Source organism: Homo sapiens, chromosome 4 (assembly GCF_000001405.40).
Source record: "Homo sapiens chromosome 4, GRCh38.p14 Primary Assembly".
Classification (NCBI taxonomy): Eukaryota; Metazoa; Chordata; class Mammalia; order Primates; family Hominidae; genus Homo; species Homo sapiens.
This window is the reverse complement of record NC_000004.12, coordinates 144,076,789-144,096,267: the sequence shown is the minus strand read 5'-3', so window position 1 is coordinate 144,096,267 and position 19,479 is coordinate 144,076,789. Positions and strand designations below refer to the sequence as shown.

Here is a 19,479-nt window from a genome sequence, read left to right as displayed (position 1 = left end):
GAAAGGACATTTTTTTACTTCACTGTTCACGGTGTAATCGTGTGCCTGACGGCTGTAGCTACTAACTTGACTTACGTTGACTGGCCACTAAGGGACTCTAGGAGTCAGAATCTAAATGGTGAGTCTCTCAAAGGCATAGAGAGAATTTCAGAGGGCCTTACCATGACATGGGGATTAAACTCCAGTTCTGCCCAACTCTCATCTTGAAATCCTTATCCCATGCCTCTTTGTGTTTGGTGTCCCCTTGCCTAGGGGACAGTCTTCCTGGGTAAGATCGGCAAGATAACTCTTCAGTCACATTCCATTTGATCCTTTGAATACTCTGGGGTCCTTACCCACCAAATGGATGGAGTTCAGCTGCTCAATCACTGCCTTTCTCAGAACTCGGTTGTCCAACCACAATTCCCTTTCCCCTACTCACGTAGGGATAGGGCTAATATTGGCAAAATGCCGCCCAAACAGCCTGCTGACAGTAAACCAAATATTAGTTTCTCTCACCTTCTTGAAGACATTTAGTCTTTGTAAGCTTTTCTCCTAGATTTTCCCTTTCCTGTTCCTGCTTAGATTCTAAGAATGAAGTGCATCCTTCTCCTTTTCTTCATCAGGTGAAGTGGGATTTACCCATTACCATATATTCACCACCAGGTCACTGACGAGAGACTCCAGTGAATCTCTTTCCCTCTGCATTCCTCTCCTTGTACAGACTAGAGGGTCACATTGTGTAAAGCCAAACATAGCCCTGCAAAGAGATCTGGCCCCAGCAGTGAGCACAAACTCAGTAATTCTCTTTAGAGTGAGGCGGTAATCAGTGCCTCTTGGTTTCAGCCGTGGTCCTAGTGGCTAATTATGGAAGAACAGGAATAGTCTCACAACATCCTGTAACATTGGCTTACCTGTATATTATATGCCACCCATAACCATAAAGACACCAGGATTTAGGTTCCTTGAAGGTAATGACTACAGGTCCCTCTCTGTGGAAGAATAGTGAATAGAAGAGAGAAATCACTCAATATGTGGAATGACTGATATGGTTTGGCTGTGTTCCCACTCAAATCTCATCTTGAATTGTAGTTCCAATAATCCCCACGTGTCATGGGAGGAACCCAGTGGGAGGTACTTGAATCATTGCGGTGGTTTCCCCTATGCTATTCTCATGAGAGTGAATAAATTCTCACATAATCTGATAGTTTTATAAAGGAGCTTCCCCCTTCACTCAGCTCTCATTCTTCTCCTTCCTGCCACTATGTAAGAAAGATGTGTTTGTTTCCCCTTTGGTCATGATTGTAAGTATCCTGAGACCTTCCCAGCCATGCAAAACTGTAGATCAATTAAACCTCTTTATAAATTACACAGTCTTGGGAAGTTTTTTATAGCAGCATGAGACAGACTAATACAGTAAGTTGGTACTAGAGGTGGGGTGCTGCTATAAGGATACCTAAAAATGCAGAAGTGACTTTGGAATTGGATAACAGCCCGTGAAAGCAGCCGAGAGGGGGGTTGTACCATGCAAAGCCACAGGAGCAGAGCTTCCCAAGACTGTGGGAACCCACCTCTTGCATCAGCATTACATGGATGTGAGACATGGAGTTAAAAGAGATTATTAAGGTGCTTTAAGATTTAATTACTGCCCCACTGGATTTCAGACTTGCATGGGCCTGTAGCTCCTGTTTTTGGCCAATTTATCCTATTTAGAATGGGTGCATTTACCCATTGCCTATACCCTCATTGTATCTAGGAAGTAATTAACTTGCTTTTGATTTTACAGGCTCATAGGTGGAAGGTACTTGCCTTGTCTCAGATGAGACTTTGGACTTGGGCTTTTGAGTTAATGCTAGAATGAGTTAAGACTTTGGGGGACCGTTTGGAAGGCATGATTGTGTTTTGAAATGTGAGGACATGAGATTTGCGAGGGGTCAGGGGCATAGTGATGTGGTTTGGCTGTGTCCCCACCCAAATCTCATCTTGAATTGTAGTTCCCACAATCCCCACGTGTTGTGGGAGGAATGTAGTGGGAGGTAATTGAATCATTGTGGCTGTTTCCCCCATGCTATTTTCATGATAGTGAGCAAATTCTCATGAGATCTGATGGTTTTATAAGGCTCTTCCCCATTTACTTCTGTCATCATGTGAAAAAGGATGTGTTTGCTTCCCCTTCTGCCACGATTGTAAGTTTCCTGAAACCTTCTCAGCCACGCAGAATTGTGAGTCAATTAAACTTCTTTCCTTTATAAATTACCCAGTCTCAGGCACTTCTTTATAGCAGCATGGGAATGAACTAATACAATGACTGACTGACTGGAAAAATTCAAACATTTTCTTATGACCAATACAATTTGCTAGAGCAATTAGAAGATCACACCTCAAAAGTATTCAGTACATTCATACTGTTTTTCAAAACAATTAACTTGTTCAAAACTCATTCCACCTTCTGACTAATAAACTTCTATTCAACTTCTTATGCACATGCATTTCAAATAGCGTCACTTTCAACTTCACTACTTTCAAAATGTAAATTAAAACAACAGAAAATTTATCCATTATCTATGAAACCTACTAAGTGGTATTTCTTATATAATATCCAACGTGCTAAGGTTGCAGTAAATTCTTATTGTTGTTATGGCAATGTAAGTTGGTGCAATCTTTTAGAAGGAAATTTGCATATATATTCCAGTACCTCCAAGATACTCATAGAAACTAAAACTCTAACAAGTATTAAAAGCGTAGCAGGCAGACATATGTTGTTACATACCGATTGCTTCTTCCTATATCACACACTCCCACACACACTCATCTGAACGTCTTTATTGTATAAGACTGATACATTTTTCCCTATTACTTATACTAGCAACTACAAGAAAACTGAACCTACAGACAAGCTGAAAATAAAGTTACTTTTATAAAACCATGTTAAACATTTGGATGGGTCAAATAGAATGAAATGAAATAAATAACTGCTGCCAAAAATATTAAAAAAAAGTGACTAAAAGCAAAATGGTCTTGAAGGAAAACTTTGAAAGAGATGTATAGCAAGACCTCAGCTTTTGCCTGTATCGTCCTACCATGTGAAGATTGATTAAAGCAATGCTTCATAAACAAAGTTTTATGGCAGATAGAGGGGACTCTATGGTGCACATATTGGCCCCAGGCAAGAAAACATCATCTGGAGAGATCCATTCTCCTCAGATACTATGAAATTTTTAGTGGTTTATTCTACAAACTTCAGGTGTGAAAAAAAGGGGCAATAGTGTGTTGATATATCAAGTACTTGAGACTGCTTGCTAGAGGCAATCACAGTTCTTATAAAAAGAGTTGTTTGCAGTTTAACTGCAAGGAGAGAAATGGCAGTTATTTTACTTTAGTTGTTTGTGTTAAACACTAAGGAAAGTGTCATGAGCCTGTAAGAAGCCAAAACAATTGAATAAAAGGTAAAAATCACAGTCCATTCTTGCAACAGTTCCTCATTTATTTCTAATAAAATAGCTCCTATCAATCTCAAACTCACCATTAACATCTCTTACCTAATAAAAAGGATAAAATAATAAATCACTTGTAAATACCAAACAATAGCAGAGCAATTAAAAAACAGATAAGTGAAAATGGTAATTTAAATATTTCTTTAAGAAAGTTAAAATGAGAAGATGGAGGCTTGAGAAAATATTTAAAAATTCCATCTATTTGAAATCTGCTTGAATGAAGAAAAGTATAGAATAAACAATAATCTACTCTGAAATTTAAGAAACAACCCAACCTCATACAAGAAACTCTGCAGAATATCTGCTTTGGGCCAAAAAGAAAGAAGGTACTGGAGAGTTGACATAGCATTCCCACCTGAGGGCACCAAACAGAGCTACAAAAAGAAAGTAGAGGAAATTAGAAGGATCCCACTACTGATGTTTATTTATCCAGTCCACAATATCAATAGTGCCAAGGTAGAACAGCCTCCATCTAGAAGAATAAATGTGTTAATAGTCAGAAAAATTATGAAAATGAAGAACAATGAGTGGGAACTTCTTCAGCCAGGAATTATAATATAGAGTTATATTAAGCATTAATTAAAAGAACATTCTGGGTAAAGAAATATATATTCAGATAAGTGAAATATAACAATTCATTTGTAAATTCAAATACATGTAATAATTTAGTGTCACGAAGAAAGCAGCTTTCAAATCAATATAAAAAGATAGATTTTCACTGTATTCAGAAAACTTGTCAGATACTGAAGAAAAAATAAATGGATCTCTACTACTCATTCTTTACAACATAAAATTTTTCACATAATTAAGGTTAATTTACTAAAATAAAAACAGGAAAGCACTAAAAGCAAATATAGATAGAGTCTTTTAGTTTTAGCAATTAAAGACTCCCTTGGCAGACACAGAAATTCTAAACAAATATGGTAAGTCTACTTTTATTTGAGGGGAAAATAGGAACAGAGGATGTTGTTGATACTTAGTGGCTTGGGTTTTAAGGTAACAATCAATCAATCAATGTACTGTAACTTTACTAAAAGTCACGTACTGTTTGAAAGTAAAATCTTTAAAACATAAATAGATAAGTTGAAAGTAATGGATGGAAAAAAAAGATGTCTGAGGAAAATACCAACTGAAATAAAGCTAGTGACTTCCTTTGATGCTGGCAATATTCTCTATCTCGATCTGGGTGGTGGGTACATGGCTGTATACATTAGAAAAAAATCATCAAACTCTATTCTTAAGATCAGTGCCTTACATGCTCTTTATTGTATGGGTATTACATGTCAATAAATAGGTAAAAATACAGAAATTTCATGTTGCTATATTAATATCAAATAAAATAGATGATAGATAAAGCATTTTCAAAGATAAAGGGGCCACTACGTAATGACAAAAAGGAATCATCTTGGAAGTAATGTCAGAGGCATTTGAACCAGAGTGCCTCCATCTTGGATAGGGGCCGGGTAAAATAAGGCTGAGACCTGCTGGGCTGCATTCCCAGGCAGTTAGGCATTCTAAGTCACAAGATGAGATGGGAGGTTGGCACAAGATACAGGTTATAAAGACCTTGCTGATAAAACAAGTTGCAGTAAAGAAGCTGGCCAAAACCCACCAAAACCAAGATGGTGATCTGACCTCTGGTTGTCCTAACTGCTACACTCCCAACAGCACCATGACAGTTTACAAATGCCATGGCAACGTCCAGAAGTTACCCTTTATGGTCTAAAAAGGGGAGGCATTAATAATCCACCCCTTGTTTAACATGTTGAAACAGGGGAGTTCCCTGACCCCCAACTTGCAGGACATGCAACAGAGGTGTGGTTTCTCTGTTTGGCCACCAGGAGCTCAAACACCTTACGGGAGGGAGAGCATGCAGATAGGCAGGTGCAAGAGCTGGAGAAAGTGCTTTTGGGCTCCAGACCCGTGGTAGGATCTAAGGGTGAGTGCCTGCAACTCCCAAAGCCCCAATGCGCATGTTACAGTGCCTCTTAGCTCTGCTGTTCACAGATGGCTTAAGTGTTAATCAGCTCAGTGACCTCTTGGTATCCGGGTCCTTATCCGGTGTCCAGGAAGAATCAGGTCACACACAGACTTGAAAGATGGTGAATGCGGGGGTTTTACTGAGTGGTGGAGGTGGCTGTCAGTGGGATGGATGGAGAGTTGGAAAGGGGATGGAGTGGAAAGATGATCTTCTCCTAGAGTTTGGCCGTCCCATGGCCTATCTTCTCTCTGACTATCCCCAGCTGAACTCCTCTTGACATTTAGACATTCCTTCTCTTCTCTCCTTCTCTGCTGCACCACTCTTCTGCTCCTCTGATCTTCTGCTCCTCTGATCTTCTGCTCTTGGAGGCTGAGGTTTAGGGTTTATTTGGGTATAGGACTGGGGGGTGTGGCAGGCCAAAAGGCAACATTAAGGTGTGAAAACAGGAATGCCTGCTCAAATTTAGGGCCATGGATTTCCAAGCTTGAGGGTGGTGTCTTTGCCAGGGAACTGCCCCCTTCTACCCAATATTTCCTTGCCTCCTCTTTGTACCAATATAATCAAGAAATAACCATAAAAATGGGCAACCAGTAGCCCTCGGGGCTTCCCTGCCTATGAAGTAGCCATTCTTTATCCTTTACTTTCTTAATAAACATGCTTTCACTTTACTTTATGGACTTACCCTTTCTTTCTTGTGCAAGATCCAAGAATCCTCTTTTGGGGTCTGGATCGGGACTGGTTTCCAGTAGCAGTAACAGTTCAGAACGTGGTTTAGTTTAATAAGTAGCCTAAAAAATATAAAGTAACACAAAGTGAAAACTTCAAAACATTCAGTAATTGACTTAGAAGGACTAAAAGCTAACTAACTTAATATGAACTCAAGAAGTTAGAAAAAGAACAAGAAGAATAACCAAAACAAAAAAAAAAGTAGACAAAAGGCGTAATAAAGAACAGAAGTCATTAAAATTGAAAATGAAGTGAAGTGAGCTGCCTGTATGGGAAGCTGCTGGAGGACAGATGGAACAACAGGAGCCAGATTTACCCTCCTGCAGGAAATGACACCAAGCAAACAACAAAAGATATGAAAAAAATGAATTTCAGACACCGGACATCAGTAGCACAGAAGAGTGATTGCCGAGAGAGAGGAATCAAACAAAATGGAGGTGAGCTCCATTGTCCAGCTCAGAGCCTGGAGGGTTCCCAGGCCCCACTGTAGGGTCTCTCTGAGATGAGGAGGCAGAGCTGAGTCTAAGAAAAGCCTGGCGGTTTGAGTTTGCAAGTCAGAGAACCCAAGAGGAAAAGCTGCACAAAGAACTCTAGAAACTTGCAGAGGGCTCCCGTGAAGTCTTTGGCTGAGGTCTAATCAGCTCATAGATGTGAGAAAGCTAGCCATATATTTCAAAACTTCTTTAATATCGTAACGACCAATGAAAAACTCTTGATCTTTTTCTGGGTCTTAACTTTCTCTTTTACAATGTAAGGTGTGCAGAGAGAGTGATTTTAGTTGTCATTTAGCACTAAAATGCTCTGACCTTTCTACAACCTAGCCCTTTCATTGGATCCTTTTTTGTCCTTTTGGGGAATATACATGAATATTTTTTTGTTCCTGACTCAGGTAAAAGAAAAAGGAACTCAGGCTGTTGCAAGATGGCTTTCATTGTAATGCTGCAGCTCTTCCATCTTCCATGAGAAATTCTGGATAACATCAAACCTTCCAATCATGACAGAAAAGTGAGGCTTGGCAGAGCATTAGCAAAGTTTTCTTCCTTCTGGAATCAAAAGAATTTAAAGTGAAGAGCAAACAGTACAAAGAAAAGGGAAAGTAAATGTAGATACCATTTTCAATGACTTAACTTTCCTTTCAGCCTACTTTTTACTTGGAGCAGTAAGTCCTGAGGTCTCAGTCAGACTTCCTTTTAACTATTTTCTAGAAATGTAAGAAGGTTCAGGAAAAAGGGGGAAATTTTAGATGATAAAATACTAACTCATTTGTCTTTAATTATTTTATGACTGTCATTAGTGACAAATGTGAGAATCTCAGGTTTACATAAGAATATGGATAAACCACAAATCGGTCTTACTTAATTTTCCTGACTGACTTTCAGCCTGTTCTAGAAGTGACTATTAAAAAACAAAGCTGTACATGTAGACACAATATTTTACATACGAACACTTTAAAATTGCTATGAACATAGAGGACAAACAATATTTTGAAGGGACTTGTAAAGCAAGTTGACTTTGAAAATGTTCTATAATATTTTTATATTTTTAGTATCACCCCCAAGTCAAAGAATGTTAAATGAAACAAGAAAGCCAGTGGAATTTCCACCTTCTGACCATGCTGATATTACTGTTTATATCCAAGTGTTCTTGGGTCAGTGTTGAAAAAAAAAAAAAAGAATTGCCTTTACAGAATACATAGAGTCAACTCTGCTTTAGAGAGGTAATCTTTAAGTAGACAGTCCTGTGACATCTTTGCAGCATGAATGGGGCAGTAGAAGGGGAGAGAGACGGATTGCGAGAACTGAAGAGGTTGTTTAGCTCAGCTCAGGATCTGTGAGGGGGCAGTAAGAAGTTATTCTCTCCTGGGTGTTGGGTGGTAGGAGTTGGCACTTTTGGAGATCTCACCATTGTCACTACTCAAGCTTGCAGCCAGCTCTGATCAGAGATACCAGCCCACTCCTCGAGGCAGGCTTTACCTGAATCTCTTCATGCTAGGAGCCCATCGTTAGCAATGAAAACCTCTCCCACAACTGAGTTGCCATTGAAACATGTGTTTTCTACATAGCAGGCCAATGTTTATAGACCCTTATGGATTTAACCCCATCTGACAATGTAAGAGGTCACTAAACAAAACTTGGTTTCATTTCCAAAGCCACTTATCTCACCTACTTTGCCCACCTCTGTTCCATACACCCCATCCCACCCCAATTCAAAGAAAGCTTCGCCATTCCCTATTTATTCATACACCTGGTTTCTTCTTTGTTTGGCTTATTGTTTCCCTGCTGCACCTTCCTTACCTCGTTTAACTACACTGGACCACTGTTTACACTGCATTTTTAATTGCCTGTTTCATTTGTCAGTCTCCCCACCTTAACAGTTTCGAACACAGGGACTAACTCGTCCTGCTCACCTGGTGTTCATTGCACCTCGCATAGTAACTGACATACAGTGGGCATTTATAAACACTCACTGTGTGACTGAATGAATAAGTAAATTAACTAATTAGCTAATTAATACTCTAGTAAGATCTTATGAAAGATTTACATCAGTTCCTAAAGCAAAGCTTGCAATGACATGGTAAAAATGACTTTATTGTTGTTATTACTATTATTACTACTACCATGATAAGCACGACTGGAAAAGCAATAGATGAGCATAGACATTACTCATATAGACAATCCATATGAAAAATCCAAAGAAGTTCAAAATTATCTTCCTCAGAAATATTTTCCCCAGATATCTACTTGCTATCCCCCAGATTTCATGAGGTTCCTCCCTCATGTCCTTCACATTTACTCCCAAAATGTTTTCAGAGACGCTCCCTTGATTATCCTTTAAAAAAGCAATCTCACCTCCTGCCTCCCAGACACACACACACACACACACACACACACACACACACACCCCTGTAATGAACACAGTGCTACTGGCTGGAAGCTCACTACTGTCAGCCCTCTCTGGGAATTGCCCTCAGCAGAGGAAGTCATGTCACCAAGGTCACATTCCCCTTCCCAGGGGACAACTTGCATCCAATTTCTGGCCATTGCAGGAATATAAAGGCCTGGCCTCCATACCCCAAGACAAGGCAATCAGAAGGCCCATCCCTGCTTTCCAGTTCCCCATGGAGTCGGCAGAGGCCCAACTGTGCCTGCTTCGGAGCCCATCTTCTCTCTCTACCCAACCCTGCTTCCTTCCTCAGAAGACTTTGAATGAACTTCCTGCACTTCAGTCTCCATCTCAGATTCTGCTGCCTGCACATCTGACCTACAGAACTTTTCCTTTATTCTGCTTTGTTTTTTCTCCATAGCACTTACTACATTTATTGCTGTATCACATATTCACATATCACATATTCATTACGGACCTATCATATATTCATTTTCTACTGTATTATTGGCCCTCTCCCTCCTCCCATTAGATTGTAAGCTCCAGTGGGGTAGGAATTTTGTTTTACTTGCTGCTGTAACCACAGGCCTTGGAACACTGAAAGCACTATATAGATTTTCATGACAAATATCAAATAAATGAAAGTTGGAACTTGCAAACTTAGAGCCTGTTTACATTGCTGTTCCTGAACTCCAGGTTTTACTGTCTGCCAAAAATACAAAGTACCTACATTGGTATCCATTAATTAAGATCAGACCAGAAATTAAGAATATTTAAAGGGATTTGCACTAGCATAATTAGGACTACAGCATCAAGAGTTAACATTTTCAGGGGAACAACTTCTGTCACATTTCTTTAATTTATATAACTTCGATTATAATAGTCATCTTCAGAATAATGATGGCTAGCATTAGCATAGAGTGCTCTGGGTCACAAAGCTTTGCACTTATTATTTCATTTAGTTTGATGCTGATGAAACCATGTAAAGGACACAGAATTGTTATGCTAGTTTCACTAATGAGGAGACTAAAGCTCTGAGAGCTTAAATGACTTTTTCAGTGACACACCTGGTAGATGAGTTCCATCCAGGTCTACTGACTCCAAATCCACTGTTCTATATCTCAGTACATCACCCTAATAATTCCCTGGAGAGGGACTCCACAAAACTAAAGCTCTTCTACAATACCGATCAGAAAAGCAAAATGGGGGCCCCTCAGCAACCCAACTAAAAGACATCTTGTATGTAGCTTATTTAAATTTATTCCAAATAATATATTTACTTATGCAACATTCATGAGAATTCTGAGTTGTTTTGGTTTCATTTGTGGGGTTTTTTTGCATATATATGTGCAACTGAGAATGAATACCATAGATCAGGACACTTCTTACCTGTTACTTATATAATATCTCTGAACATTCATCAACTCTTTACTATTCTGTTAAAGATGTATACTTACTCACCTATGAAAATAGAGTGAATTTTGATTTTGTCAATGACTTTATTCTCTTTTATATATTTCAAAGGTAAAAATATTAAAAATTCATATAAACAAAAACAAAGAAAATTACATATAGCATTCTCACAAAGACATCACATTATCACATTGTATTTATATATATTCTTCCAACACTCTCTCTCTCAATATAATACATATTGTTTTATAAATTTATCTTTTTGAATTATTTTATGTTCTGATGGTATATAAATGCTATCTTGTCATTTGAACATCTAGAAATCAATTAGAATTTTTAAAAAATTTTAAGTAAGTTCTCATCAACAATATAATTATATTGTACATACAGTGTGATTGTTCTCAGCAAGTAAATAAATAAAAACCCAAGGCTTACACATTAAAAATAAAAATAAAGGAAAATATATATTTACTCCTTTTGCATACCTGATTTCTGTTTACTAGGGCCCAAGAGAAGGTCCAAAACGTTCACGTCTTTTGATGGCCTGTCTTAGTCTCACTGGGCTGCCATAATAAACAGATACCACAGACCTGTGTGGGTTAAACAACAGAAATTTATGTCTTCACAGTTTTAGAGGCTGGGAAGTCCAAGACCAAAGTCCAGCAGGGTTTGGTTCTGGTGAGGACTCTTTTCCTGGCTTGTAGACAGCCATCTTCTCGCTGTGTCCTTGCATGGTAGAAAGAGAGGGGGTGAGCTCTCTGGTGTTCTTCTTATAATGACATTATCCTGTTGGATGAGGGCTCTACACTTATCACCTCATTCAACTTCAATTACTTCCTTAGAGGCTGCATCTCCAAATACAGCCACATCATGGGTTAGGGCTTCAATATACACATTCTGCGGGGGGAACCACAGACACTTAGTCCACAACAAGGCCCAAGCCTAAAAATAAGAATAGGTCTAAATAATATGCTCTCAGGGAAGGATCTTGGGGACAACCGAATGTACAGAGTTTAGTACCCCAAATCCATGCTAGGCAAGGCATGCTACTATCCAGATAGCAACTAAGGTGTGACACAGGTTCACACAGTATAGTCAACTTAGCTGCTACTAGTAATATTGCTATGAGTGAGGCACTTTATTGCTTAAGTCTCAAATTTCTTATCTGAAAAATAGGAATAATATGTTCCTCAAAGGACTAGTGTGAGGATTAAATGAAGTTATGAGTGCCAACTCTAGAGCTTACACATAAGCTTAATAAATGTTAGTAGAAATGAAGAATGAGAAACTATTCCAGATCACCCCAAAGGATATCCAGCTGTTTCCAGATTCGCTAAGTCCGTAAATGTATGCTCCCAGAGTTCTAACCCAGTAGCAAGGAAAGATCTGGATTTACTCAATAAACCATGAGCATATATTGAATGCACACTTCCTCTCTGCCAGGCTCTGCACCAGGTAATATACTTTCTTAGGTAGGAATTCTCACATTTAAAGTGTTAATTATAGTTAACATATAATTAGACAAGCAAACTAGAGGGCAGTGGCAGTGTCTATGGGTAATGGTTAGTCTTTTGGGGCATTAGAGCTGCAGGTCAGGGTTCTAAGACGTGAATCACTCTCTTTGATAATTATCAAACCTAACAACGACCATACCTCCTAAGCACATCTCAGTACTAAAGTTCATTGACGGTCACATTTTTCTCACTGATTGCTCAGACAAAAGGAAGAGGAGCTTTGAAAGCTGTGATGGGACTTGAGACACTCCTTTATATGCTATCAGCATATAAACAAAAACATCACAAAAAATTTTGGCTTTCCACTGAGCATCATCCCAGGTAACAGACCCTAAGCTAGGTTCACCACTTAGGCTATATCATTCAAATAACATAACTCAGTGAGGCTGGCACTTTCATTATCCCCATTCTTAAGATGACAAATAATAAAATAAAATAAAATAAAATAAAATAAAATAAAATAAAATAAAATAAGATGTGGCTTTAAAATTAACCCGGCCAGGTCAAAAGCCAAGAGCTGAGAAAAAGTTCCAAACACAAATTTTTCTAACTCAAAAGCCCATGCGTGAGTTTACAACATGTCCAGGAGGGACAACCTGAAATTAAGAAAGGCTGGTAATTTAGAATTCTGAATTGCAGGCAAAGGCCTCCTCTTTCATGTAACTTTCAGTAAAGACTGAGAGCTAGGATATAATGGACTATTCCAACTTGGTATCAGAGCTCTCAAAGGAAATGACACAAAACAGCTGTTAGAAGGCCAAATGTAAAAGAAAATAGGAAGAATTGACTTTTCAGAGGTATTTATTTTCACTCAGAGATGGAGTTGATATTAAACCCTTATTTATACTGGGTATGGAATCATACACATTGTTGAGATCTGTATCTGATTACACCTACGGCACTGTGCAGTGTATTTCAGTGTAAACAGAGTAAGTCTGAGTTTGATTTAGAGAAAAACAAAAAATAGGCTAAAAAAATAAAAACTACATGTGAGGGGGAAATACCTCAACTTTGGCCCCTTTGCTCCTGATCGGTGAGCATTTTTGCATTTTTCAAAGACATCAAAGGGTTGCTACAAGGCTTACCTTGCTCACAGGACTTTGGATGTATCTTCTAGTGCTGCTGAGAAGATGCGTCATGAAAGGCACATCCACCGTGGTGTGGTGTGTCAAACTTGAATCACTGGACTTGAGAAAAGAAGGCAGAGTTTGTGTTCTGTGCTGAAGATAGCCCATGTATTTCTCTCAGGGAGGAAAAAGTTTTCGAGGTTAAAAAAATTGAGAAAATGGGTAAAGAAAAAAATAGGCTTTTTAAAAATATATAAACATCTGTAAAAATCCTATCTTAAAATATCAGTAATACAAGTAAATTAATGTACTAGTAGCAAGATTACCAATCTAATGCAAAGTCTATTCATTGCTCATTCATATGCCTATTCCTTTCCACAAAGTTTTTGCAAGGTGGAATGACATGAAGAATATTGCTTGGAAAAATAGATGATCTAACTTTATAAGCACTTTTCAAGTACTCCTCTGCTGCCAATATTTATAATAAATCTGCTTACTACCCTGGCCTCAGCCAAATTAATGAATAATTTCCTTTCTCCTTCCGGTGAGACTCACAGATTACTACACCTTTTTTACCCAAGAAGTCCTATCCTATTGTATCCTATTGTATCTGCCTGAAGGAACCAGATTCGGCTCCATCAAAGGTATACCTTTCAAGAAAATAATCTTAAAAGTGAATTGTTTTAAAGATAAAAATGTATGCATTTTCTTTTTCTTCTGATCTTCTACCTTATGGTCTTCAGGTCCATTAAAATATAGGTTTTAGGGTAATGAGTACATTACACCAATAGATTTGCTCACATATTTAAAGAAAAAGCATAGCCTAAACATGCATAATATTAAAAGAAACAAAGTAAAGACAGGCTATAAAAGTAAACAGATCAGAGTAAATTTTATGCATAACTACAGAAGCCACCAGCAGAGGATGCAGTCAAAGCGCTATCCTTGCTTGTCTCTGGTAACTGCTTCCCAGTCATGTCTTACCACGACCTTGTACTCGGTGTAGCACAGCAAAGCAGCATTTGTCACTGACACAAGTGTATTCCAGGGCATCTAGAAAAAGGGATATGGAATTAGCTCTTTCTTCAGCAGTCATAGGTCTGAGTCTCTCTGCCTAACACTTTTCATCTATTCTACTGAAATTCAGTTTTCTGAGCAATTAAATTCTGGCTGAGAGAAATGTTTCTGCAATCCTTTTCAATATACTCACTTTCCAATGTAATCCCAAACTCTGACTGGGTTCCACATTATAAACCTAATTCCTTAAGATTTATAGTGTCTTAAACTTTCTTTAATTAGACTTTCAAGTTGTAAAGGACTGAGATAATTACATTTGGAATGTTTATAACTCTCATAACTATGTGCAAAGAGATACTCTGTTATCAAAAAATGGCTAGATTAACGCCCAGTAGCTGTCAACTCATCTTTTGCGGGGTGGGGCAGCAATGCACCATAGTAGTTAATTTTGAGTGGCAAGCTAATTTATTTCTTCTGAATGATTTACCAGGAATAACAGTAACACAAAAATAAAAAGGCTATACAAGTGCCAAGTAATTAAGCATGGTAATGGAATTACATCAGGCTGCCGTGTGGGGTCTAGGCTTCAGCAAAAGAATAGAAAATTGATTTATATTATCTAGGTGATCATGTCTTGTCTTTACACATCTTCTGCTACCAATTTATAATACTTTAGTCTGCTTTTTTCCTAAGATTATGCCAGCTAGAAGGCATTTGCTTTAACTTCTATATTTGTAGTCTGTAAATGTACAGAAACTTTCTTGTCTTTCAGAGATACATAGATAATATAAAGTATTAACTTTTCTCCACCCTGAACAAGTACTTATGTATTTGATTGATAAGTGTTTAAATTGAAAATCAGGCAATCAAGTTCTATTATCTGCCAATATTCTAAACAGAAGTTATAAAATATATTATTATAGGGATAAAAAATAGAATAAGGTCCCAGTTTATAAAAGAACAGTGATTTACTATATCTCTGTTTATATATATTTTGAAGAACAGTGATTTACTATATTACTGTTCATATTTACTGTATCACTGTTCTACATATATATATATATATATATATATATATATATATCCTTCATGCCCTTTAGGACATTAGTACATTTGTGAGTAGAAACTTGGAAACAGAAATGAGTTATTTAAGGAAATCAGTTCTCTAGAACATGGATCTCTTAAAAAGGCAATCATATCTTGGTGTACAAGTGGCCCCAATTTAAAAATAATAGTTACTTACATGTTTTGTATTCTAATGGGCCTGCTACTCTCCCATTCTCCCACCTACCTTATCCCACAAAAGAATAGTCCATAGAGAGGTATTATGTATATGTGGGATATTTTTTCTCTTTTAATTTTTATCTTGTCTTCTAAATAAAAGGCATAAAGATTTATGTAAAATGGTAAGTGTAAACAGAATATAAAGTCTGCTCAACTGTAAGTATTAGAAGCTTCAGGATATTATTTTTCTAATTTTGAAGTTCAGAAATGTAGCAACAAACCTCACTTGCAAGAACAGATGATCAAGTTTCAACAGATCATAGATCAGATCAAGTGAGAAAAAACATAAGATGACAATGATATCTCTATTTCCTATTCTAGAGAAATAAAGTTGAGATTTGGTCCTTAAAATCATGAAACTAAATTGCAAAAATCCATCTTCTCCTTTCTTCTGGTTTATTTCTCACAGGAGGGGGAAAAAAAAAAAAACCCTCATCTGGGAGGAATTTCTAGTGCAGGATCTGGAACCCTAGCAAGTTCTGATAGTTTCATGTGACATGATAGCATGTCACATCGTCAGGCACTCAGTGTGTTCTCTGCTTATTCACTTAGAAACCGGAATCTGTACCAATCAAGATGTACTTCCAGCTAACCTAGTGGTCAGTCACCTTGAGTTGTTGACTGCCTGCAGCAAGAATGACAAAACCATTTTCCAGTATTTTACAATTATAATGTTAGACAACGTCATTTTTAAGGCAAGAACTAAATTGGAAAACTTAGCAATACACTAGAAAAAGAACGAGTTAAGAAAAAACAGAAATATGCCCTATTAGGGTTAAGAAAACTGGCTCATATTATCCTGAATAAGATAAAGCTAATGGAAAAGTGTAAATTAGTCCAGTTAACCCTATGCTCTAGGCAAAAACAAAACAAAAACCTCTGTAAAGAGAAAACTCAGATTATATTTCTCAAAATCCATTTGGCTCATAATGATTTTTTTCTCTTTTTATAGTAAACCAAAGAATTGTTGTAACTCAGTGAAAACTCAAAAAATAAGCAAAGACAACAATCACACATGCAAAATATTTGAATGTTAAATACATGGAGAAGATGTTTGACTTCATTTGAAGTGAGTCAAAACCTTCTTGAGAGGCAGATAACAATATGTCTTAAGACCCACTAGACTCAGTAATTCCAGCTTTGAAATTTAAGAATGTGTCTCAAGATTTAGCAAAAATTAGACGCTGCCACAGTGTCCAAATAAATAAATAAATAAATAGGAACTTATTGAGTTCTGAAATATCCATAAAATGAAACACTCTGAAACTATTAAAAAATCATGTGAGAGAAGTTTATTTATTGTAAAAGAAAGACATTCAAGATTAAAATAAAAATTTGACACAGCTATTTTATGTGTCATTTTTGGGTATGGCAACTTTTTCCCAGCTTAACTGAGGGAAAATTGAAACACAAAACTCTGTATTTAAGGTGTACAGCAAGGGTGTCCAATCTTTTGGCTTCCCTGGGCCACATAGGAAGAATTGTTTTGGATCACACATAAAATACACTAACACTAATGACAGCTGATGAGCTTAAAAAAAAAAAACCGCAAAATAATCTCATAATGTTTAAAGAAAGTTTACAAACTTTCTTTGAATGTGTTGAGCCACAGTCAAAGCCTTCCTGGGCTTCTTGCAGCTCATGGGCCGTGGGTTAGACAAGTTTTGTGTACAATGGGATGCTGTAACCCAGAACTGCCATTTCCCTAAGAGAAAGAGAACGAGTTATTTTTTAAATTTTTTTTCTTTTTTTCTCTTTCCTCCTCTGCCCCTGTTCCCCACTTCCCACTTAACTCTTTAGAAATGCAATTAGAACCTCTACCTTCCCTTCACCAGACACTACAGGACAAGCTCATCTAACTGTGTGCATACCTAGAAGCCCCAGAGCTGGAAATCTCTCCCACCAGAAGATTGTCTCTAGAGACAAGAGTCAATTTACAACCTAAAGTTTGCCCACAGGAAACTCTCTCCCATCTGGAGAGTATCTCCAGACCACAGCCACCTTACAGTCTAGCACTAGCTCAACCCCTGGGTAGATAAGGCAACAAAGCAAGTCGCCTAGACCCCCAACTGCTCCTTCCCTGCCTGCCATTCACGCCAAGTTCCCCTTTAAAAGCTCTGGCTTTCTGCCCCAAAAGTGAAGCAGTGCCTTTAAAGGCAAGAGCCTGGACTTCTTTCCATAAGCTAAACTTTCGATTAAAAAGTCACTTTCTTTATATCAGACCTCACCCTTGTAAACTGGACTCGGCAAGCATCGAGTGACTGAATCTGCAATTGAGTTACAATGCTTTGATATATGTAAACATTGTGAAGTGATATCAAGTTAGTCGACACCTCCATCACTTCACATAGTTACCTGGGTGTGTAGTGAGAACTTTTAAGGCCTGCTCTTTTAGCAGATTTCAAGAATACAATACAGACAGTTCTCTACTTAAAATTTTTCAATTTTAAGATGGTGTAAAAGTCAGTCAGTAGAAACTGCATTTTAAGTACTCATATAACCATTCCGTTTTTCACTTTCAGTACAGTATTCAATAAATTACATGAGATATTCAGCACTTTATTACTAAATAGGCTTTGTGTTAGGTGATTTTGCCCAAGTACACTAATATAAGTGTTCTGGGCGTATTTAAAGTAGGCTAGGCTAACCTATGATATTCTGTAGCCTAGGTGTATTAAATACATTTCTAAGTTACAACAAGCTTGTCAAACCCATGGCCCATGGGCAACAGGCAGCCCAGTATGGCTTTGAATGAGGCCCAACATAAATTTGTAAATTTTCTTAAAACATTATGAGATTTTTTTGTGTGATTTTTCTTAGCTCATCATCTTTCGATAGTGCTAGTGTATTTTATGTGTGACCCAAGACAATCCTTCCAGCGTGGCCCAGGGAAGCCAAAAGATGGGACACCCCTGAGTTAAAATATTTTCAGCTTACATTGAATCTGTTGGAACATAACTCCATTGTAAGTCAAGGAACATCTGTACAGTATTATTAACTATTGTCATCACGCTGCATATTAGATTCCCAGAACTTACTCATCTTGTAAGTGAAAGTTTGTACTCTGACCAACATGATTTGGGTGATATTACATGGCCCTAAAGAAATAATTTTAATTTCATCTTTGTAAAAAATCAGTCATATATATGACCAAAATTTTACCTCATCCCTGGCATTCACCCCTTGAGCCTACAGAGTAAGCAAAATGGTGGGCAGAAGTAAGTCCAGACAATAGAGTAAGGGAATCTGCAATATAAAGCTAAAGTGACAAAGTACATGAGGTTTTAAATGCACACAGCATCAAAATAGGTGTGTGTATATTCATTCAATTTATTAAGAAAGAAAAAAATATCAAATGGCTAAAAATCATATTTCACATTAAAACTGCAAATTTGTACAAATGGTGAAACCCTTATCTCTGCATACCAGTCACATAGAAATAAGAGAATGAAGCCAGTATCACCCTAATCCCCAAACCAGGAAAGGACATAACAAAAAAAGAAAACTACAGACCAATATCCCCAATGAACATAGATGCAAAAATCCCCAGAAAGTATTTACTAAGCAAATACAGCAGCACATCATAAAGATAATACACCACGATCAAGCGGGTTTCACCCTAGGGATGCACGGAGGGTCTAACATATGCAAATCAATAAATTTGTGATACACTGCATAACCAGAATTAAAAACAAAACCATATGATCATCTCAATAGATGCAGAAAAAGCACTTGATAAAATTTAGCATCGCTTTATGATAAAAACTCTCAAGAAACTAGGCATAGAAGCTACTTACCTCAAGTTAATAAAAGCCATATATGACAAACCCACAGGCAACATCATACTAAATGGGGAAAAGTTGAAAGCATTTCCCCTGAGAACTGAAACAAGCCCAGGATGCCCACTTTCACTCCTTCTATTCAACTTAAGACTGGAAGTCCTGGCCAGAGCCATCAGGCCAGAGAAATAAATAAAGGGCATCCAAATCAGAAAAGAAGAATTACAACCTCTATGGAAAACAGTATGGTGATTTCTTAAAAAACTAAAAGTAAATCTATCCTTCAATCCAGCAGTTCTACTACTGGGCATCTACCCAAAGGAAAAGATACCACCTTACTCC

General features: G+C 37.6%; 1 long non-coding RNA gene across 2 annotated transcripts in view; it reads right to left on the bottom strand.

The window, feature by feature from the left end:
- Nucleotides 1-18,070, bottom strand: part of LOC105377460 (uncharacterized) — a 106,316-nt gene extending 88,246 nt beyond the window's left edge. Inside the window, exons 1-5 of one of the 2 annotated variants that reach the window (XR_002959803.2) lie at nucleotides 14,042-18,070; nucleotides 13,076-13,177; nucleotides 10,962-11,066; nucleotides 6,137-6,242; nucleotides 894-971 (exon numbers count right to left, since the gene is read on the bottom strand). This is a non-coding gene — a long non-coding RNA (uncharacterized LOC105377460). Of the gene's footprint in view, nucleotides 1-893; nucleotides 972-6,136; nucleotides 7,224-10,961; nucleotides 11,067-13,075 lie in introns of both variants that reach the window. The other variant, XR_001741862.3, reaches the window with a different exon arrangement.
- Between the last annotated feature and the right edge of the window lie 1,409 nt (nucleotides 18,071-19,479).